General features: G+C 49.2%; 2 long non-coding RNA genes across 4 annotated transcripts in view; one reads left to right on the top strand and one right to left on the bottom strand.

The window, feature by feature from the left end:
* Positions 1–23,462, bottom strand: part of LINC02987 (long intergenic non-protein coding RNA 2987) — a 231,539-nt gene that overhangs the window by 116,405 nt on the left and 91,672 nt on the right. Inside the window, exons 2-4 of one of the 3 annotated variants that reach the window (NR_146735.1) lie at positions 7,696–7,776; positions 7,224–7,565; positions 5,871–5,965 (exon numbers count right to left, since the gene is read on the bottom strand). The exons of the other annotated variants lie outside the window; for them this stretch is intronic. This is a non-coding gene — a long non-coding RNA (long intergenic non-protein coding RNA 2987). The remainder of the gene's footprint in view (positions 1–5,870; positions 5,966–7,223; positions 7,566–7,695; positions 7,777–23,462) is intronic. 3 annotated transcript variants of the gene reach the window in all.
* Positions 372–22,014, top strand: LOC105372347 (uncharacterized). Its single transcript, XR_007067375.1, has 7 exons — positions 372–461; positions 1,344–1,485; positions 5,733–5,839; positions 8,266–8,366; positions 12,493–12,679; positions 15,000–15,071; positions 21,929–22,014. It is a non-coding gene; the product is annotated as an uncharacterized LOC105372347 (long non-coding RNA).

The raw sequence follows: 23,462 nt of genomic DNA, 5'->3' as shown, positions 1-23,462 counted from the left end.
TGAACAGAATGTAGAAAAGCTGAAGTTGATGGGAATAGATTTCATTTGGAAAATAACCATGAAATTACCTGATGAAGAAATTGCTAATGAAGCTATTCAGTTAATCATAAAATATAGTTATGGTAATCTAAATCCTAGCTTAAAGAGGATGAATATCTAAGGAAAGAAAGTTACTCATTGCTATGCAAGATTTGAAGTAAGTCATTAGCAAATTTTATTTAGCCTGTCTTTGAAATAAATGCTTTGGGATTTTTTTTCTTTTATAATTTTATATTTTCAGATAATTTATAAAGTTGATGTTTGAGAGTGCATTCTATTGAAGAATTTGTCAACTGTACCACTGTGGCATAGGGAACAGGAACTTGCCATGATACCCTCAATATGGATGTGTACTGTAGCAAATCTCATTCTCCTACCACCTCTCTTCTGCACTCCATCCTCCCACCACTATAGAAATACAGGTACTATCTTCAGAAAACAGGTCTGCTATATATTCCGTATTTTTGATAGTTTTTTCTCCTTATTCTCTTTCTATACAAGAACTTTATACAAGCACCGCTTCTTTTTCTGTTTTTCTTCATGTTTCACTTAGTTATCCTGTAAATACTATTAAAAGCCACAGCAGAACACTCAGTAGTAGGGGGTGTTTGTTGTCTTTATCCATTAGAAGCCTGCTGTGTAATACTAGCTCATGGGTATTTCTGTCTTATTTCAATCAAAAAGTATTCAAAAGCATGAAGCGTAGCCAGGCACAGTGGCTCATTCATGTAACCCCAGAATTTGGGGGAACTCGGGAAGGAGGATTGCTTGAGGCCAGAAGTTTGAGACCAGCCCAGTCAGCATAGTAAGACTGCTGCTACAGAAAAAAAAAATACAAAAAAAAAAAAACCATGTATGTGTACAGATATATAACATATATAATCTATATCTAAGATATATATATATAACATTTCTCTTTGTTCTCTGGTAAACCATTATCATCTTGGTGAATCTCAGCAGATTGATTTGTGGTAAATTAGCTTGAGAAAGCTTAAGCAATGGGAAAGTAGACATTTTAACTTTGCAAGTGGACACACTGAGGCCCAGGGAGGAAAGAAAGCTCCCTGGCCACATGCCACATCCTAACCCTCCTGCACACACTTACCCCCACAGGCCTGAGATCAACGACATGACTGGTCAGGGCCTCCCAGGCCTGATGCTGAAAACCCATCCATTCACCCAAGTGGTGAACACTGAATATCCCTGCCTCTCTTGAAAATGCTACATTTAAACAGGCAGAGAAATGTATTTCATAGAATATGCATACTTTTTCCTTTGTACAAAAGCATTTTAATCTCTCTTAGTTCATAGCCAAGATGAACAAGAGGAGGAACAATCACCACACACAAAAATCAGTCACCAGGCATCAGAGCCTTCTGGGGTGAACATCTATCATTACCATCATCACCACCACCATCCTCACCGCCGTCATTGCTGTTTTTTATGGTTAGTGCAAATTTTGCTTTGTTCCTTGGACATTCAGACTGGATCTTGTTCATTACATTAGCTGCCTCACCTAGAATGATGTTTGTCACATGTCTGATGCCTATGAATATCAGATATTGTAAATGTTTATTAAAAATTAATGAATGGTAAAATATAATAAAAACAAATGAAAAATTTTAAAAAAGAAAATCAATGAATAGGCTAAGTGCAATGGCTCAGGCCTGTAATCCCAGAATTTGGGAGGCCAGGGCAGGCAGATTGCTTGAGCCCAGGAGTTTGAGACCAGCCTGGGCAATATGGCAAAACCCCATCTCTACAAAAAAACAAAGTAAAAGTTAGCCAGGCATGGCTAACCTGTGGTCTCAACTACTTGGGAGGCTGAAGTGGGAGAATTGATTGAGCTCAGGAAGTTGAGGCTGCAGTGAGTGGTGACCACACTGCTGAACTCCAGCCTGGGCCACAGAGCAAGACCATGTTTCAAAGAAAAAAAAAAAAATCAATGAATGAATGAGGTTTCACATACATTATATTACTTGTTTGTTACTGATTATAATTCCACCAGATGAGCAAGAGTAGGTATCATCACCACCCAATTTTATATAAGAAAACTGAAGCACAGATAGGTGTATTGTCTTGACACAGGCCGTGTTTTGTGGTGTGACCTGGTAGAGATGTATTGCTCAGCTCTGGCCAAAATTCCCCCATGAGCAGAATCTGGTCAGGAGCCTCCCTGCCCCTCCCTCTCTCGCTTTGGCACTGGCCTGGGTGCCTCTTCTTGGGGCTGAAAGCAGCCCTTTATGTGTGTGGCTTTTGTGTTCTAGCAGACTAATCTCACTCCCATGGACAATAGCCCCTTGTCAGCGCTAGAGCCTAAAGGAGCAAATTCTTCATTATTACATGGAGTAGACAGGCAAGAACAATTGGACGAAATAGACTGTATTTTCCAAGGTCATCCCCTGGCTTCTAATTCTATCTGCAAGATAGAATTAGAATTTGAATGATAATAAACTTCTACATGAGAATCCAAGCCCTTGATCAGAAATGGAGAATGGGCCCTCATGCAGTCCAGTGGGAAGGAGGTTTCTGGGCCTGCAGTAGGCCAAGGACCCTTCTTTCTCAGAAACAGTCTCTGGTGAGAAGGAAACCAGACACTACTTTCTCAGAAGTTCACAGTCTGGTGGGATATATATCATTTTATGTCTGTAAGCACACCTGCATATGTACAGGGGTGTGTGGTGTGGGGAGGCAGCTAGCACTGGAAATGGGAGCAAAGTCTGGCCTTAGCTTGTCCATTGCTCTGATGAACATGGACTCATGTGGGTGCATGGGTGGGGCCAAGTTCCCACAGGATGTCCAGGGTAAGTGCCAGGGAAGCCCTGGGAAACCAATTCAGCCACAGGGGCCCCTGGTCTGTCACCTCTGCCCAGCCTTAGCTCTCATATAGCCCCATGGGCAGGAGCAGCTGCTGCCAACAGTCACCCTGATGAGGCACCTGGAACAGAGGAGCACTTCTGCTTCACTCCCTAAGTGAACAACAAGCCTCAGTGGGGAGGCAGGAGAGAAGGTCACTGTCAACTGAGCCTGCCAGGGTTGGGAGGAATGTGCTGAGAGTGTGACAAGCATGGCCTTAGTCAGGGAGGCCTTAGATGGGGAGGTTGGTGGGCAGCTGAGGGCCAGCCTGCAGCATATTCTTGGCATTAAGTAGTAAATTGAGTGTTCCAGTCCTGGGATAGGGGCAGTGGTGAGTGGGCTGGCTGGGTGCCCTGGTCAGAGGCCTTGATCTTTTCTCCCTGGACTGGCCTGTCTGCAGGAGGTGAGAGGTGGATCTGAGAGCACCTGGGACTGAGTAGCCAGTGGTTAATCATTTCCCAGGGGCTTGAGCTGCCTTCCCACCTCCATGCACTGCCCTGGGGACTCCCAACACTTTGCCCAAAACCATCAGGGCTGGAAATGACCTCAGTGACCACCCACAGTGACCCTTTATGTTGAAGGGGAACCTAAGGCCTACCCCGCTTAGGGAATGAAGGTAGGTCCAAGATCATGGCCAGCCCCCACTGCAGCTTTCTCCTCTGTTCTCCCTTTCTCTATCCTAGCCCCTAAGAATTGCAAATTATGCTCCTTGAGCCCCAGGGTTCTAGAAAATGCTTCTGGGGCAGCCTTCACACCCTCTCCCTACTTTAACCAGAGCATCCGAGCCTTGATCTGTTGTATAAGAAGCATCTACCTATAATTCAGTTTGGGAAAATGGGTTTTACTTGTAAACATGACCTTTACTAACCACTGCACTTAAACCCTTGCTATCAGTTGCTACATAATAGATGGAAGTTAAACTTTAGGAAGAAAATTCCAAAAGGAGAGGTCAAAACAAGCTCTCCAATGAGTAACGGGGCAGATGTCTTTTAGAAATATTTAAGAGAAAAAGTGGAGCCCCATTTTGGAGTTGGTGAAGTCTGGAATAGGGAGGATAGCAGTATGACATGCAGGCATAAGGAGGGAAATGTGTCCCCTGGTGAAGGCCAGCACAGGGGGAAAGCATTGTTCGGAGGGAAGCAGTGGTGGGCAGCCACCTGGGGCTGTGCCCTCAGCTAGGGAGAGTGGCTGGGACCCCCAGTTGTTGGGGCCTTTAGGTTTCACCCCAGGCCTGGCTCTGGCCTTGACGGTCAATGTTGTACTGGCCACTGGGTTTCCCCAAAACTCTGCCCTCCCAGGCTGTGCCCTGAGCTGCAGCCTGCCCCGGGGTGGGAAAGCCCACACCTCAGAGGCCCCTCTGTTCCTTCTCCTGAATGCTCAGCTGTTGAGCTCCCAAGGAGGTGGAACCTCACTCTGGTTTAGGGCCAGGCTTCCTCAGCAGCCTTTTCTGGCAGTAGTAAAGTGGTTAAGGGTATGGGCACTTGAGATGCTAATCTAGATTAAAATCTTGGTTTCCTTTTTTTTTTTTTTTTTTTTTGAGACAGACTCTCGTTCTGTCGCCCAGGCTGGAGTGCAGTGGTGCCATCTTGGCTCACTGCAACCTCTGCCTCCTGGGTTCCAGTAATTCTCCTGCTTCAGCCTCCAGAGTAGCTGGCATTACAGGCACTTACCACTATGCCTGGCTAATTTTTGTATTTTTAGTAGAGATGGAGTTTCACCATGTTGGCCAGGCTGGTCTCACACCCCTGACCTCAGGTGATCCACCTGCCCTGGCCTTCCGAAGTACTGGGATTACAGACGTAAGCCACTGCATCTGGCCTGGTTTCCTATTTTTACTAGCTGCGTAATCTTGGGAAAGTTATAATCAAAATGGGGATAACACACACTTACCTCCCAGGGCTGTTGTAAAGAGGAATGTCAGTGACATTACAGCAGTGCCTCTCATTGGAGTAAGCACACATGTGAGTGTCCTTTCTTCCTCCTTTATTCCTTTAGTTACTGATTATTATTCTCCACATTCAACAAATGCCAGGCACTGTTCTAAGCCCCTAATTATTAATTTATTCTCATAGGGGTCTCAACACCTGCACCTGCTGTGGTCCCTCCTGGGGACTGACCTTTGCCTTCCATTTCTATCAATTTCCTCATAACTTTTGCTTATTGGAGATAGCTTTTCTTCCCAGGGTTGGATGGTGATTCTCAAGGGACTCAGGTTTTGCCAATGTCAGGGGTTGAAGGTGGCCACATGATTCCCAAGCAGCAGGAGTGGTAGCCACATCACCTTGAGTGAGCTGTGGGCTCTTGGTGTAAAGCTCAGGGACATTCAAAGATGCCTGGGCCCCATCTTCTATAGCCCAGCCCCCTGGAGACCTCTCAGGACCAGAACCAGCCTGGGGAATGAGTCAATTCCAAGGAGACCAGGCTCTGATCAGACACCATAAAAGGCTTCACTGGAGGGTAAACAAATAGACCACTTCCCCAAGGGCTGAGGGCAGTATGTGGAAACTGGATTGCTCAGGATTCAGGGGTCCTGGAGGCTCCAGCCCAGCCAGCTCAGGGAAGAGGTGCTTTGAGCTGTGTGGGTCACTTTCCCCAGTATATGAATCCCTCAGCTTTGGAGGGCAAGAGCTGTTCCTAGACTATGGGCAAGGGGCAGGGGTGCATCCAGAGAAGCAGGGGTGTGGGGGCTGGAGATGTGGTATCAGATGAAAGACAGCAGAAGTTGGCATTTCTAACTTTGAACAAGAAAACCAAGGAGAGGTGCGACGTTGAATCCTACCTCATAAGAGACCATCAGTTGGTATGCAGTGAATGAACGATGAATGATCATTCTACAGAGCTCACAGGAGTCATGTGGAGGCCCAGGGGAACCTCGCTTAAATTCCATGATGAAGGCCATGGGGAGAAACATTTGACTGGGGCCCTTCTGCATGAGGAAGTGGAGGTAAGACTGACAGAGGGACTGAGGTTCTAACCTGGAAGAGCTGCACTGATGGCAGAATTAAGAGGGTCCAGAAAGTTCCTCTTCAAAGGTACATCCTTTCCTATAGAGTGATTGGCAGGCACACACCTTCCCGGAAAGAGAGACAGACAGATTGCCTTTGGGAAAGACATAGAGTTTTCTCCTGCTTTGTGCTCTTCAGTATCAAGGCAGAGGTTGAATAGTTCCTAGGGAGGAGGAGAGCCCTGCACTCCTGAAATTGACATTGCCTTGCTCTTCTACATTGGTCTGCACTTGTTGGGTGCCAGGTGCCATGCTGGGTACTAGAGAAGAAAGAGGCCCTATCCTGCAGTTGTTTCCCTCACTGCAGGACAACTTAATCACCCTTTCTTTTCAGGCCCTCTCTACTCTCCTGCATTTGCTCATTTTTTCTAAGAAAAGCAAAACTTAAGATCTGTACATTTATATAAATTATACCTCAACTTAAAAAAAGCATCCTGTGACCTCACATCCTCTTCTGGGTACTTACTGTCCCCTTCTATTTGCTTTTCTTCTCAGTAATATTTCTCAAAAGAGTGCTGCTAATCACTAATTTCTTTCTTCGTTCCCATTCATCCTCACCAGCTGGGTCAGGCTCTGGCACAATCACTGAAGCTGCCGCTTCCAGGAAGCCTGGCACCCCTGTACTCATTACTCCACCTGGTCTCATTCTCCCTCACAGCAGCATTTGACTGAGGCCCTCGCTCCTTTGCCCATGCCAACGCCCTGGCTTGGTATTTTTCCAGCTTCCTGACTGCAGCATCTTGATCTCCTTTGCTTTTCACTACCAGAAACACAGGTCTTCATTTCCCTCCTGTCCCTCCCCTCTACCACCCAACATCCCCCACACTCCTTGCTCCCCTGGTCTTCCTGTCCTGCTCATGGTAGCTCCAGGAATAGCTCAGGCCAAAAATCTTGTTCTTAATTATTCTTTCCTCACCAACCACGCGCCTCCCCCAAGTCCAACATCCAATATAGTAGTAAACCTGGTGGCTCTATCTTCAGAATGTGCCCCGAATCCATCCCTTTCCCATATCTCTCTGTCAGTTCAAGTCATGATAGTTCTTACCTGTGCAATTGCAGGTGCCTCCCAACAGGTCTCCTGTTTCCCCTTTCCCCTGCCCTTTCCATTCTTTTTCCACACATCAGCCAGAGAGATTTAAACTACAGAAATCCCACCCTGTCACTTCTCTGTGTACAACTCTCCAGGGCTGTCCAGCACACTTTGATTAAAACCCAAGTTCCTTCCTTGGTCTCCAAGACCCCATGCTCTAACCCTGGCACCTTGTCCAACTTCCCTTAAGGCTACTCCTTGGCCCACGCGTACCCTCTTCCCTTAGATACCTACCTCCTCACATCCAGGCTCTGCACTCGCTGTGCCCTCCTCCTGGGACTCTGGCTGCCAGATCTAGCTCTGCCTCCTCCTCATGAACCTGATCTCTCAGAGGGTTTCATCACCCAGCCACCCTCTCCCACATTGCTTACTTTGTTCTGTTGTCCCAGTGACACTTATCTCATTTTGTTCATGAGCTTGTTTTCCTCACTCATGGTCTGACTCTCCTCCACTCTGGATCTGTGCTCCATGAAGGGGAGGATCTTGGTTTTAGTCCCTGGAAGCATGCCTGGCACATAGTAGATGCTCAGAAGTATTCGTTTAGTGAATATTGGCTCAATACATGTGATGCTGGACCTAGAAAAAAATGAGAGCTGTCTTGTGGTTGAACCTTCTCATTTTAGGAGGGAAAATGGAAAAAGAGAAAAGGAAATGACTTACCCAAGTGCAGGAGGACTAGAAACCAGATCACCTGACTCTGTCTTACCTAAGACTCCATGTGGCACTGTTTTATACCATCCAGGAGGGAAGAGGCTCAGTAGGAACTAGAGGTGGGCAGCAAGGGAGGCTGGAGAGCAAAAAGAAGGGAGAGTTTGGTGCCCAGGAGTGGCAAGGGCAGGCCTTATAGTCATTGCTGTAACTCTGGAAGGGAAGACGGAGGCTTTTTCCAACCCAGGTCTAAGCATGGGGGAGACAGAGGGAGGTGCCAGGAGGGGCTCACCTGACTGACTCTCTCAGTCTGCTACTCCCCTGCTCAAGCCCTCTCCTGCCTCCCTTGGGAATTACAGCCTTTTTGTCCCCAGCAAACCCCGAAACTTCTGGCCTCCTGGGGTGCTCAGTACTTCTCCTTTGCCTGGACTGCCAGTCACCACATCCGAAGCCTGGTTGCTCACTGAGATCCAGCCTAGGTTCAGTCTCTTCCTTGAGCCTCTCCGGATAATCTTGGCTTGTAGCATTTGTGTTCTCACTCTGCAGAGTGACTTGTGCACTTTGGTTGGGGGAGTTATTGGTGAACATTCTTCTGTTTCTTGGTGGACGTTCTTCTGTTTCTTACTAGGTTGTTAGTGTCTCCAGGGCAGATACCCTGCTATGTTCTCTGACCCCCCTCCCCACTCCACCGCAGTTGCTGAAATGGTGCTGGCTTGTCACAGTTGCTCAGTAAGTATGCATTTGCTCCTTTGTTGGATTGGAAGAGATGTGGTGGTTGGAAGGGAGGATGGGCTGGGGGGCAGTGGGTGAGTGTGTGGTAGGGAAGGTGGGACAAGGATGATGGAAATGGGTGGGTGGCTGGGTACACAGATGTGTGAGTGAGTGGTAGATGGATAAATTGGTGGGGCTTGACTGGCTGGCTGCGAGAGTACCTGGATGGCCACGTGAATGAAGGGTCATTGGGGCAGGAGCCAAAAGTATGGTGTGTGGGCTCCCTTTGCTCCCCAGACAAGTGAAAGTTTTCTGGATTTTCATCACCATCTGTCAAGCTCTCTGACTCAGCTCTTTTCAACTAGAAGGTGACAGAGACCCCAAGAGCCCCTGGGAAGCAAAGAGGAGATGATATCGGGGTTTTCAGGTGTAATTGGTTTTATTTGCAAGTCTCCCCATCCCCAAAGCTAAGAAATTCCATGGGGAACTGAGTAACTCTGAGGAAATCTCACCCTGACTGTCTGTCAAGGAGTATTATCTAAGAATCCCAGGACTAAAAAGAGAGAGGCACTTGGCAAGCTCATCTACTTCCTTCAGGCATAACCATGCCCACCCTTCCACATTCCTAGTCACCCTCAGGCAGGGAGGCCTCACATTCCCACCCTGAAGTCCAGAGTAATGTCCAGCCCAGGGATTCTCATCTGAGGTGATTTTGCCCCCCAGCGACATTCAGCAATGTCAGAAAGCATTTTCATTGTCACAGCTGGGGGATGCTACTACTGGCACCCAGCAGGTATTGGCTAAGTTTGCTGCTAAACATCCTACAATCCAGGACAGACTCACACACGGAATTATCTGGTCAAAGTGTCAGTGGTGCCGAGGTGGAGAAACCCTGGTTTAAATCAAATCCCTACAGCTTTAGTAGAAATTTAATAGACATATAATGGGAACTACATTTAAAATGTTAAAATTTTGAGTGGTCACATTAAAAAAGTAAAAAGTAAAATTATGTTAATACGATAGCTCATTTACCCCAATATATCAAAAATATTACCATTTCACCATGTAATTAGTATACACAATTCCTAATGAGAGTTTTAACTGGTTTTTAAAATCCAGTGTGTATTTCACACAGTATGTCTCTGTTCAGACCAGCTGCATTTCAAGCACTTGACAGCCTCTTGTGTTCAATGCAGGCAGGAGGGTATGTGGTCTCTTCTTTCAGCCCCACAGGAATATGCAATGGGGAGGGTCTTATGTTTCTCCGTGCTGTGCTGACCCTCTCCTCCCCTCCCTGAGCCTTTCCTAGTAGTGGTCTTTGGAAGATAAGGAGGAGCAGAAGCTCAGATGGTGCCACTGCAGCCAGAGCTAAACCACAGAGGACGAGGCTCCCAGGATCAGCCAGATGGAGAACGTCGGGCCTCTGAGAAGTGCTCAGGTCAAGGCAGGGGCCAGGGTACCATTGTGGTATCCTGGGTGGTGGGGATGAATTAGCTTCTCCAGATTTCGTGCAGCGTGTTCAGCCGGCCAAGCACTGAAGCCCAGAGAATGAAGCTGAAGGTTGTGAAGATAAATTTCAAATTCCTCACCTTCTCCAGACCCCTCAGACCTGCTAGGTTCCACCCTCTTCACAACAATGATTGCCAGTATTGAGATCATCCATGAGCCAAAACTGTGTGGGACATTTTATGGCCATAGCTCACTTAGTTCTCACAATATTCCTGAGAGGGAGGTATTGTGAACCCATTTTACAGAAAGGGAAACTGGGCTGAAGGATACTGAGGGAATCATATGCCTACAGAGCAGCAGGACCAGAGTTTGTATCCAGATCTGTCCAGCTCTGGGGCTCACCTCTTCCTGTTAGCCAGCCTGCCTCCCTCTAATCCTGACCCCCATAATTCACTTCTGAGGGGAGGAACATTAGAACTGGTTTTGCCATCTAGACTTTGAGATTATGAGGAAAGGAAGAGAAGGGCCCAGAATTTACTGAATGCCACTCACATGCCAGGACTGTGCTGGGCACTCTCATGAGATGAGTCTCCTTTTACTTCCTTGCAAGCCTTGTTTGCAGATTTGAAAACCGAGGCTTTGAAAGTGAGTTAACCTGCCTGAAATCACATGGAGAAGAGGTAGTTGAGGAAGGAAAAGAATCTCCTTTCTCTGGAGGCCGAGTGCTGTGGGTTTTTGACAGTCTTCTCATGCTGTTGTTTCCCTGGGTGCCCCAGAGGATGGAGAACAGGGCATGTGCCCTAGGCCGCAGCAATACCTGTGGCTATCACTTGGTCTCAACTGTACCCATGTGACTGACAGGAAAGTGGAATGGTGCATCAGAAGCCCTCGCTTTCACTCCAAGCTCTCCTGTCAATTAGCTGTGAGACCTTTGACAAATCCCTGAATACTTCTAGTTTTGATCTAAGTTCTAAGGAACAGAAGCTGTGCTTATTTCTTTTGACCCTCAATGCCTAGCACAGGGTCTGGCACATATAATATAGTTGCTTAATTTTTTTTGACTATGTCTAAACATGGAATAGTTGGACCTTACTAGGGGTTTATTAACTTTTTAAAAAAGCATGGCTTGCTTTGTTCAATGACCCCTTGGAAGCCTAATATGTAGAGTAGGTAAAGATAATCCTTATTTAAGTGGTGGTGGGGAGGAGGGCAGGGCCTGACATTCTTGTATTCCCCATGGTGGTCCTGAAGGCATCTCCATTGGTTAGGTGCCCCCAAGGTCCCTTCCATTTCTGATATCCTGTGATTATATTTCCAACTCCACCTCCCTACTCAGACTCTCAAGCATGGAAGAAGTAGAGGTTTCCAAGCTGCTGCCCCAGCCTCCAAAGATGAGGAGGAGGACATCCAAGCTATCATAATCTGTCAGAAGGGGCAGAGGTAGCAGGTGGTGAAGGCTGCATGGGCACCCATCTGGGAGAGGCAGAAGGCAGAGGAGCAAAGGGGAAGCTGGGACCCTAGCAGGACGTGCAGCATCTCCTAGTCCCCAAGAAGGAACTGGAGACCCCACCTCACCAGAGACAAAGCCAGGAGCAGCGGGGTCCCTGGGCCCTGGAGGAGGAGAGCTTGGTGAGCAGGGAGCCATGAGGGAGGAAAAAAAACAGAGAAGTCCCCAGTCTTCTCAGAGAAATACTCCATGCTAGGGAAGACAGCACTGGATGAGAGACTGGTCTCAGAAAAAACCTCCATCGCCAAGAAGGTGCTAGCCTTGGAGAAAACATCTCTATCTGAGAAGACAGTGGTATCAGAGAAAAGACAGCTCAGAGAAGAAGCTGGTTCCAGTAAAGACAGGTGTCTCAGAGAAGACACTGGCCCCAGGAAAGGCATCAGTGTAGGAGAAGATAGTGGTGATAAAGCAAAAGTCCATCTCAGAGAGGTCGGTTCTAGAAAAGACAAGTGTCTCAGAAAACACACCAGGCTCAGAAAGGAGACTGGTGTCTGAGAAAGCATCGATCTTCGAGAGGTCACCAGTCCTAAAGAAGAGCCTGACAAGACATCAAGCTGGCTCCAAAGAAGACTGCAGCCTCAGAGCAGCCCAGGCCCAGGAGCAGCCGGCCTCTCGGAGGAGGCCAAGCCACCACTGAGAGGCAGACAGAAAGGGCCCTCCCTTGGAAGAAACTGCCGTCCTCTGCAGAGCAGGGCATTTTGGGCCCTCTGACTGTAGTCTCCTGCCTCTCACTAGTCACACTCCTGGTTGGCAGTGTCCTCTCCCTCCTACCCTTCCACCCTCCACCCTGGAGGGCTCCTTCCTATTTCCACTCAGGTGGTCTCTGGCTCCCTGTCTGTCTCTCACCCACCCCACTAAGGCAGGTTGGTGTTGGCAGTCTCTTCCCCACTGCCTCCTTCCAGCCATGGTCAGAGCAGGGACTGAGATGGGGCAGGCTGCTAGACTTCAAGGGGCACCAGCCATGGGGCAGGGAGACCTGGTACCCCCTACCACATCCTCATCCAGGCCTGGACTCCAGGGCTCCAACAGACTCTTGGGAAGCCTCAGATCATTCCGGAAGCTCCCCTAGGAAGCTCTGCCTGGTGACCTGGCCCCAAGGGAATGCTTATCCACCAACCACTCTTACAGAAGGTGAAGGAGGCAGGAGAGAGAGGCAGAGGACTGTCTCACTTTCCCCTTCTCCTGCAGCTCCTGGGATGAAACATGGGGTCTGTGGCTGCCTGAGCCCACTGGGCTCTAGACCTCTGTGTGATGCTCCCCCTGCCCTGTCTGGGTAAAAAACCCCAGCAAGGAGGAAGAGGCAGACCCCCTCATCCACTCGATGCGCCTGCAGTAGCTCCCTCAAATACTCCAGGCCAGGACCACCTCCTTTCAGGTAAGAGCACAGCACACCCTTGTCTTGAATCCATTGCAAGGTAAACTGAGGAATCCAGCACCCATCACAGCATAGGAGCCTCGGACTAGATAGGACCATGCTCTGGATAGAGTAGGCTTTGGGTTCCCATGGGTGGCCCCAAGCAGACAAGGCTGTGCTAAATAAAGGAGAGTAGGTTAGTGACCCAGGAGCTGGGTGCCAGTAAGCATTAGCAGCCCCACGTAGTGGGCAAGGTCGGAGCTGCAGATGACAGTACAGGCCAGGATGGCACTGGGCTTCAGGAGGCCCACACCTGCCTTCATCAGTTTCTGGCATCACTTAGGAGGCTTGCACAGGAGCAGAGGGGAGAGGTGGAGAGCAGCAGGGCTCTCCTAATGCTCTCTGCTAGGCCACTGCTCCAACAGTACAAAGTATGCGGTGTGGGGAAATCTCATATTGCCTTGTCCTAGTGTTTATTCTTCATTATTTGGTTCACAGGGTCACTCACTCATTCACTGGGCATTGCGTCTCTAATGTGTGCCAGGCCCTAGGGAGGAGGCTGAAGGCCCGATGTTGATCGGTGCCCCACAGGGCTGGCAGGCAGATAGGCAGATAGGAAAACAGGTAGTTAACAGCTTCCCAAGAAGGAAACCTAGAGAAGGGCTTGTGACCCTGACTGGTGTATGGGGTTTCACAGATACGTTTACCAGACAAGACAAGGGTCTTTAATGAAGGCTTGTCCACAGACTTCTTTGGTCACAGTTGACGCTTGGTGGAAGCTGTAGGATATCCAAGGAGGAGGAAGCGTCCTGACTTGAGGGGGCCACCGACCTCCCCAGGACTCTCACAAGCCACCGCTTTTCCTGCCCCCTTCAGATGAGCCCCAGGAAAGACAACTGAGAAACCACTTTAATCTGCAGGTTGGGGCGAGGGGGACTGGAGGCCCCAGCTCTTTCCTGTTGGTCATATTCAGATTGTTTTCTGAGTATCTGCCACCCATGTCCTTTGTGCCAGGCTGTACCCTATGATACACAAAAGGAACATGCATTCCTTGCCCAGGGCTCCAGATCTGGCAAGGGATGGGATTAACAGGAGAGACTGTAGCTGGATTAGATGGAACAGGGAAGTAGGATCAGGGAGAGCTGCTTGGAGGATGCAGGGCTTGGATGGGGCACCAAAGAAGGAGGAGGGTTTAGTCTTGAGGTGGGAAGGAGGAGGAGGCTTTTCAGGAGGGAGACCAGGAACAGCGTAGGGAGGGAAAGCCTCTACCTCAGCAGGCCTGGTGCCTGTGGATCTGTGGGATTGATAAGGGTCCCCATGCTCCATAACATTGATGCAGGAGTCTGAGGATCATGCTTTGGGAAAAAAATATCAGATCTGAAAAGGAGTTGCACGTATGTGTTAGGAATTTAATCCACTTGTGCTGTATTCATCTGCCCTCTAAACATTCACTGAAGCTGACTGCTGGGCTAGGCCTGGGGGTTGGGGTGGGGATGGAAGAGGATGAGTACAATGATGAATGGCAGAGTTGCTGCCCTCAAGCAACTCACATGAGACCATGAAACACACACAGACCACTCGAGCAGGGAGGTGCAGGGACAGGAATTTCAAACCCAGGGCTAGGAGCTCAGGAGTAGCTGCAACCACTCAGCCTGTGAGAGCTGGGGAAGGTATTATGAAGCAATTGACATTCAACATGGAACTTGAAGAACTAGTGGGATGTTTTCAGGTGGAAAACTGGAGGAATGGCATTTCCAATAGAAGGAACAGAATGTGGAAGGGCACAGTGAAGAGCATGGGTGTTCTGTCGGCTGGCACATAGGCATGAGGTGTAGGCAGGGGGAGGGACCAGATAATGAGAGCCTTGTGTGATATGCCAAGGAGTTTGGCCCCTGTTCTGCAGTCTGAGGGGTCTGAGCGGGAAGGACCAGATCAGATTTATTTGAGGTATAAGCAGCCTGGTGAAGAGCTCTGGGTGGCAGGCCGGGGAGCAGATAGATGTTGATTGCTTTGGTGGGGAAGATGGAAAGGAAGGATCTGACTCAGGAGGTGTCTTTGAGGTGAAAGTGATAGTTGTTGGAAGAGAAGGGGAGAAGGAAGGAGTGGAAGATGTTCTGATCCTGGGGATGTCCTACTGAGTGGGATGTTTCTCAGGAATGGAGAAAAATTCCTGGAGTCTGGAAGTTCTTCACTTTGGCCAAGTCAACATAGTCCACTCTGTGATGGAGGACCATGTTCTCTTTGGTGCTGGGGACTACTCCTCCAGCCCTAGGGACAGACCTGGTCTTCCTGAGGTGGGGATGTCTCACATGGCTTGTCTGTCCTGTCTTCCATTCTGCAGTGCCAGCATGAGGCTCCCGGCCAGCACAGTGAAGTTGGGAGAGACACTGGCAGGATACACACAGCTATGCAGGTGAGTGGGGCCCCTCCAGAAGTGTAGAGGATACCTGATGTGCTGGGCATGGTCTGTGCACCTCACCTCTATGGGTCAGGGAGCAGTTTGTGTTCTTGGTTCCCAGAGATCAGAATCCATTAAGTCTCTGAGCTCCTGTCACACTGAGCGCTTCATTGTTTGTGTGGGTATAGTCAGCAAACACCACCTCTTGGAGAAGGAACTGGCAGATCGGCCTACAGCCAGAAGGTGGGGGGCTCAGGGCCTGCAAGGGATCTTTAGGCTGATTAGCTCGGAGGTCTCCAAAACCAAAATCTTGGCCATGGCAGTGCTAGAAAACTCTGTATTTTCATATGTCAAGTAATGTTGGCAGAACCTTGAGTTACCATCATGTTCCTGAGCCCATCTCCTTAGCTGAGCACATGGCTTCCTAGGGACAGTGAGGGAGCTTTTTCATGTGTCTATAGCATGTTCTGGATGTAATGGGAGTGAGGCAGAGTCTATCCTCAATCCAGGGCCTCTGAAAATGCCTTGCTGCTGCAAGTGGCCCTAAACCCTAGGATGGAAGGCTCTCTTTTTAGGAGATCTTGAGGGTCTTAGGGGTGGTGATGTCAAGGCTCAATGTGTGGATCAGAAGGTCCAGGAGTCTGGAGATCAAGACTCCCAGGTACCCTTTCCTTCCCTGATGTCTCTTACTCTGGGCCCAGGGCAGAGGAGGAAAAGCCCCTAGAGCAATGAGTCATTTCAGGGGTAGATACGGGGGAGGTAAGGGGGCAATGGACAGGCCTGTGGGTCAGACTATAGCAGAGGGAAGGGGTAGGTATTGGTCGCTTCCCTTTCAGGAAGAGGGGGAATACCCTGAGCAGGGGGCTGGGCCTGGGGGATCTTGAGCCCCTCACTGTCCTGCCTTAGTCCCTGATCTCCACCTTGATTCTCTCAATCAGGAGGCATGAAAAGAGTCAGCAACCACAACAGGACTCAGTGGGAAAAGAAATCTGACCCCTCACTGGACACTGAGGGGCAGGGAGGGGCCTAGCTCTGGGGCAGAGGACCACAGGTGCATGGTGGGAGACTCTCACATACTCCCCTTTGTGCACACACTAATATGCCTGCAGTTGCACAGTCCAACCACCCAGAATGCCCCACACCTGCTCACATAGGCTGGTCTGAACCAACCACAGGAACATAGGAGAACCCTCAGCTGGCTTTGCTTCCCTGCAGCTTTGCAGAGCCCCTGCCCTTTCAGCCAACAGATTGCAGGACTCTGACCCACTGTGGGCGTATCATTCATGCAAAGGAATGTGCTTTATTAGTACTTTATCACATTGCTATAAGAAAATACCCGAGGCTGGGTAATTTGTAAAGGAAAGAGTTTTAATTAATTCACAGTTCCACATGGCTTGGAAGGCCTCAGGAAACCTAAAATCATGGCGGAAGGCAAAGGGGAAGCAAGCCACCTTCTTCACAAGGTGGCAGAAAGGAGAATGACCAAAGAAGGAACTTGCCCAAACACTTATAAAATAATCAGGTCTCATTAGAACTCACTCACTATCATGAAAACTGTACAGGGGAAAATGCACCCATGATTCACTTACCTCCACCTGGTCTCTCCCTTGTCACGTGGGGATTTTGGGAATTATAATTTAAGATGAGATTTTGGGTAGGGACAAAGCCAAACTCTATTAGTTGCCTTCCTGTCCGGTGACCCCTTCCTCTCCCAGCCTTTCCTTGTTCTAGCTCTTTGCCCCACAGGTGTGACAAATCCTGCCAAGACAGACCTTCGAGTCTGCATCTCAAGAGGTCTCCCTCATGCCAGAGCCATGACTCTTGCAGAAGCACCCGTGTGTCTCATTGCCTCTGCTCCCTGTCTGCCTATGGACCTGTCTGGCCAGAGCCTCTAGGGCTCAGGGATATTGGCGAGACTCAGCCAACTTCTTCCCAGCCCAGCCTCTGGGAGCAGGTGTGCCCTGACACCTTGTCCCACTGCAGGCACAGCAGATACTGGAATCTGTGCTGGTGCACATCAGCACTATGGGGGCTCAGCGCCCTTATCTGGAGATGTCCATCCCTTCCAGCTCACTTCTAGGGTCAGGTGCAGTGTCCTTCAAGAACTCCAGGGTCATCTGTCTCATCAGCTTCCAGCACATACCTCCATGTGCCTGTGATATCCTCATCACTGAGGTCCTGATCTGCTCCCAGCTGCTTGTCCCTCCTCTTCTCCTCACATGGACTGTGTGAGCTTGTAGAATGATGAGCCTTCAGAGACTCTAGGACCAACCACCCTAAGAAAATCAGCCTGGTGCCTCTCAGCCCCTTCAGGCTGTAGTTTAATGCTTTTCTTTCAATCATTAGAACTCTGTTGATTGACTATCCTGGTGCTATCCATAACCAGAGAGGGTGAGACCAGGTGCAGAGCCGTGCCCACTCCCCACAAGCATGTAGGGCAGGAGCCCTGCCCTGGCTCCATGATTCTGGATGAGGGCTCCTGTCTCAGATCTGGGGTCCAGGGAACAGAGGCCCTCAGAGCCCCATCTGTGCAGGATTCCCGGTGCCCCTGGGCTGGCCCGCTTCCAGCCAGTGAGTCTCCTGTGCCTGCACTGAGCTAGGGGTACCAGGACCTGAGGGCCCTGCCCCAAGCAAACCTCACTCACTGCCAGGGCCGGAGCTTGGTGAATATTCCAATTCCACAGCTGAGAGTTGGAGGACAAATCGAGGACAGGGCAGAGGAATGGGTTCAGTCCTGCCCAGAGCTTTGGGTGATTTCAACAGCTCTGGCTCTGCCGGAACCTCCAGTGTGACCCTGATACATTTTTCCCCTCTGAGCCTCAAGCAGATGACCTTCACATGCTCATTTTCTAAACTTTGGAAAGTCCCTCTCACACGTAAACTTTTTTAGTAAGCAAAATTCTCCCCACACAGGCTTAGGAGAGGCTCCTAAAAGCCTTCCCAGGTAGTGGAGCCGGACTCCTCTGGAGTAAGAGCCTGAGAGGACACCGAGGGGCCTCTTCCTGCAGCTTCAGCTCCAGGGGTGGGGCCCTTCATGCCTGCACACTCTCCCTGGGGTGCCCATTGAGGGCAGGCTGCTGGGGAAATGTCAGGGGCACCGCTCCACAGCTCCCTCTCATTTGTATGTGTGCATCCAACACATGAGGTCCCTGCCCTCATTCCTGCTGGGGACACAGCTACTAAAGAGACCAGCATGTGTTCAAGATGACTTCATTTGGCAGTTAAATGAGTAGTAGCCACTGGGTAGGCAGGTGGGTGGGGAGGCCTCTTGGAGGAGGATGACATTGAGCACCCTCTGGAGACAGAACAGGGCTCCCACTCACCAATCTTTGACCTGCCCACCTGCTCTACTGTCACAGTGGCCCTGTGACCCCATAAGTGGCCTGTCCTCTTGTGGCCCCTGAAATTTGCAAGCACTGTTTCAGCACATACTTTCTCCTGCTGCTACAGCTTGGATTTCTCTTCCTATCAATTGTTGTGCTGGAAGGTGACTTTTGTTACATCACTTTGCAAGGACAGGGATATCCACAATGGGCTGGGAGTAACTATTTGGTGTTGAGCAGTGGCTGCTGGATGGTGGCTGGATTTCCTCACTAGATAAGTGACTGTCTCATAGCTTCCTGAACAGAGTTCCTGCCTTGGAACGGTCAGTAGGAGCCTCACACATGCAGTCCATGATACCCAGGATCTACTGGGGTTTGTCCATTGGGCTTTGTAGGGCTCTAGTTGCCCAGATCCCTCTTCCAGGCATCCAGACAAATAAGCTGTAGTCTGTTTGAAGGGCTGTTCAGCTTACAAGGAACAGTAAGCCACCCTTAAGTTAAGGGAGGGTTTAAGAAAAGCAATTCCTAAATTCTAGATTATTCCAGGCCAGGACACAAAGCAAGTCTGGACCCTGGTGGGCTAGAATGGGAAACAGAGATTAAAGGTTCCCTGACTTTTCTCTGAGCAGCCTGGCTTCTTTCTCACTCTCCACTTTATCCCCCAACCCATTTGTCTCTCTCTGTCAAGCCTCTTGCTTTCCTGATATCTCCTCCTTCTCAGGATGCTGGCTGGCAGGCATGTGGCTTCAGCTGGCCCTGCTGTGGATCTGCTAGTAGTGTGGAGGCCCACATGGAGGAAGATAAGCCTGGCTGGGGAATCAAGGCCACAGGACTCAGAGGCCACCGGGGACCGTGGAGGGGATGGGGTCCGGAATGGTGTGGAGCAAATGGAAGTCCCATGTGCAGAGGATTCTTTCAAGGACAGGAGCTGTAGATGCAACATAGTAGTTCCCAAGGCAGCAGGATTGAGAGAAGAATTTGAGGACTGGAAGGCAGGACATGTGGTTGAGTGACTGGAGAAGGGAGCAGATAATGGCAAGACTTCATTCTTTGTCCACAAACAGAAGAGTGTGGATCGCAAGTAGGCAAGATCTGCAGGTTTCGGGGGGCTCATGGGGGAGGGGAAGGCCTGGTCCAGAGGACCATTTCTCCTTCAGAGCCAGGCAGGACCTGGGCTGTGAGGATTCAGAGACAGATCAAGTGGAAGAGTCAGCTCAGCTGCCACCAGACTTGCTTTCCTCCTCTCTCATTTTCATTATGTACTGAACCTACAATGTGCCATCAACGAACACAAACATGCACATGCATAGGCATCCATGTGCAAGCCAATAGACCTCCTGGGTCCTGAACTATGGATTTATAATCTGGTAGCTTTAGCAGATTGTGGTCTTACATCCCTTGATTTTAAAACCACTGGGAAATGATCTTTATCGGTCCTCACTACCCCCCTCAAACAGTTTCCTGTTTTAGGTTTTTGAATGAAAACTCTGCTTTGTATCTGACCTCTTGTAGCACTTTAAGTCCATTCCCTGGGAGGAGGGCTTGCCACATGGCCTTGGGGTTCATGGAGAAGATCCATGTTGCAGATGTTCTCACTGAGCCCTGCAGAGCCAGCAGCCTGCCAACACTGCTCAGCCCATTAAAAGGAGCCAGTAGTCTGGTCATGGGGTGACCTTTCCTAGTAGGCAAAACTGTCCCCACATAGATTTAGGAGTGTGTATCCACAGCATCAGCTCAAGTACAGCTGTAGGTGTGCTTTTACCCTCTGACTTCCAAGATCCTGGCACAGAGATTAAGGAACATCTTGGAGGTTGCCTTCTACCCCCAAACTCTGCTCCCAGCCTGCAATCCCAGGCCTGGGTGGCCTCTGCTTTATCAGGATTCTCAAGAGGGACAGCTGGTTTACTTTCCATCCGTGTTCCCTGTGTATCTGCTCTGGTTTCAGATAGCTTATCTGAGCACCTGGAGGGCCACATGGGCATCTATGGCATGGGGCACATATTTCTGTGGCTTTGTTCCTGCACCTGCCAAAATAGCCAACACCCCCCACCACCATCTCCCCACTCTGCCCATCCCCTGCCACACATTCTTCCTGACACAGGGCTGGCTCACCAGGCTCCATCCCAAAGGCCTGCTTAAAGCCCTCTCCAGCCCTTGCCCTCACCCAGTCCCTGCTGAGGCTGAGCAGCATCTGTCAGCAACTGCTGATCTTACGTAAGACTAGGGCAGGGCTCTGGGGAAGGAGAGAGAGAGTGGAGGGAGAGACATGAGGATCTTTGGCCCCGGCACCTTCACCCAGAGTCCACCTACATCTACAGAAATCCATGGTCCCTCCTGGAGGAGGCCACACTTCAGAGAAGGTGTTGTCATGGTTGGGCTATGATATGGTTTGGCTCTGTGTCCCCCACCGAAATCTCATCTCGAGTTGTAATCCCCATGTGTCAAAGGAGGGACCTGGTGGGAGGTGATTGGATCAGGGGATAGTTTTCCCCATGCTGCTCTCATGATAGTGAATTCTTATGAGATCTGATGGTTTAAGAGTATGGCACTTCCCTCTTCTACTGCCATGTAAGACGTGCCTTGCTTCCCCTTCACCTTCTGCCATGATTGTAAGTTTCCTGAGTCCTCCCCAGCCATGCAGAACTGTGAGTCAATTAAGGTTCTTTATAATTACCCAGTCTCGGGTAGTTCTTTATAGTACTGTGAAAATGGACTAATACAGCCTCCAAGATTAGTGCAGTAGAGCAGAGCAAACACCGTGATAGCATTTGGAGACTAGGGTTGGAGTCCTGAATCTGCTACTAAAGATGTTGTGTGCACTTGGGTAAGTCACTTCCCCTGGCTGGACCTCAAATGTTCTCATCTGTAGTGTAGACTGCTAGTTCTCTGTCTGCTATAAACACAATGAAGCTGTAAATAACAGGGACTCCCCCAAATTGCTTGGTCCATCCCCTGCACTCCAGGCCAAGGGCCATCAAAACCTTTCCAGGTAGGGTCTTCCTGAGACCCAGAGAACAGAGACTGCAGCCAAATTAGTCACATGAGTCCCTGTGGTCATATTCTTAATGGCAGGGACTCAGAAACTGTCCTGTAACCATGGGGAAAGACTAAATGTACAGCAGCAGGCAAGGACCACTGGCGTGCCTCTCCAGGCTGACAAATGGATTCCATTTGATTTCCCTAACTTGGAACCATTCCCTCTTGAGAGAAGAGCCTGAACTGAGCAGTACTTGGGGCTGATGAGGAAAGGCCTCACTAGGAGAGCCTTCCATGGGGTGTGTGTCCAGCTTGTTGGCAGGAGAGGGTTAAGCCTGGGTCCCTGCAGGTATGACCCTTGTCCCAACACACCTCTAGAGACAGGGTTTGCTTTGTGTGTAGGAGTGGTAGAGAAAGTGTCCCTTGATTTTTCAACTTCTCCTTGGCAGGCTAAGGACTGTATGGGGAGAGGGTTGGCTTGTGTGTAAGGAGTTCTAAAGAACATCCCTGGCTTGGTGCATGAGAAGCCACTGCCCTCCTAAATTCTTACCAGGCACATTCTTTTTCTCTCAGGCAAAAGAGGAATCAAAAAGGATCAAGTTGCCAGCTGCCATCTGCCTTTTGCCTTTCCCTTCCACTTCCCCCAGCCTGTCACCCTCCTCTCCTGGTGGGCTAAAAGTGGCACGTTTAGGAAGATCACAGCTGAGTGTTTGGGACAAGGACTGAGGGGTGGGGTTGGTGTTCCTGAAGACAAACATCATGTTCTCAATTATTCGTGGGAGCTAATAATTAAAACGATTGAACTCATGAAGGTAGAGAGTAGAAAGATGGTTACCAGAGGCTGGAAGGGGTAGTGGAGTGGGAGGAGATGTGGGGAGGGTTAATTGGTACAAAAACATAGAAAAAAACCTAGTATTTGCTAGCACAACAGGGTGACTAGGGTCAAAAATAAATTAATTGTATGTTAAAAATATCTAAAAGTATATAATTGGATTGTTTGTAACACAAAGAATAAATGCTTGAGGGAATGGATACCCCATTTACCCTGATGTAATTTTGATGCATTGCTACTTGTATAAAAATATCTCATATACTCCATAAGTATATACACCTACTCTGTACCCACAAAAATTAAAAATAAATAAAAAAGAAACTCAGACTGTTTCTGAAAGACTGGAACTTGAGGCTCATCTATTTGATAGACAAGTTAACTGAGTCCAGAGAGGATGAGCTACTTAACTAAGGTCACACAACAGAAGCAGAGTTTTAAACCCAGGTTTTCTTGACCCCAATGATACGGCTTCGATGACTGGAGGAACACCAGGGTCCTTTGTCCTGCACCAATTTATATAAAATGACACGGACACACATGGAGCGGTTTTAAGGAGCAGAGAGTTTAATAGGCAAAACAGAAGGAAGAAGCTCCCTTGTACAGAGACAGAGTGAGGGGGGCTCCAAGTGGAGAGAGGAAACCACAAGTGCAGCGGAAAACAGTAGGTTATATTAGGAGGCTGGAGGAGGCGGTGCCTGATTTTCATATGACCCAGGGGATTGGTTTGACCAGGTATGTCATTTATGTAGACCGCGAAAAAACTGGCCCTTTCACCCTAGCCTTTTAATATGCAAATGTAGACCGCCATGATGTTCTGCAGACATGGAGATCTCTGAGGCGGGGCGGGGGGCCTGAGGCTTGGCACTCATGGTGACAAGGAGAAGAGGATGGGAATCCCCATATTGGATGGACCCAGTTTGTAATGGCTGGCATTTGCATATCAAAGCCTGCTGGCCTGGCCCTTCAAGCCATTTTTCTGCTAGAAAAGAAATGTTTTGGGAGTTACTTTTAAGAAAAAAACTTACCAAGGATCCCTTATCTTATCTGCCTAAAACAATTTCTTAATAACTCATATAATATTCGCCCCTGAGGAGACGTTACCATAACTGCTGTTAGGGGGATTTGGGCAACGACTCTTTCTGGCTACTTCCTGCTGAAAAGGGGTGTCGATTGGGGAACAGCAGTTAGGGCTCCTCCTGGATTCGATATAAGTGTCCTTGGAAGAATGGCGTGTTCCTGCATGGTTCGGTTTGCAGCACCATTTGGAGTTTGATT

This window comes from Homo sapiens, chromosome 19, assembly GCF_000001405.40.
Source record: "Homo sapiens chromosome 19, GRCh38.p14 Primary Assembly".
NCBI lineage: Eukaryota > Metazoa > Chordata > Mammalia > Primates > Hominidae > Homo > Homo sapiens.
Note: the sequence above shows the minus strand (reverse complement) of the source record. Positions and strands in the feature narration are given on the sequence as shown.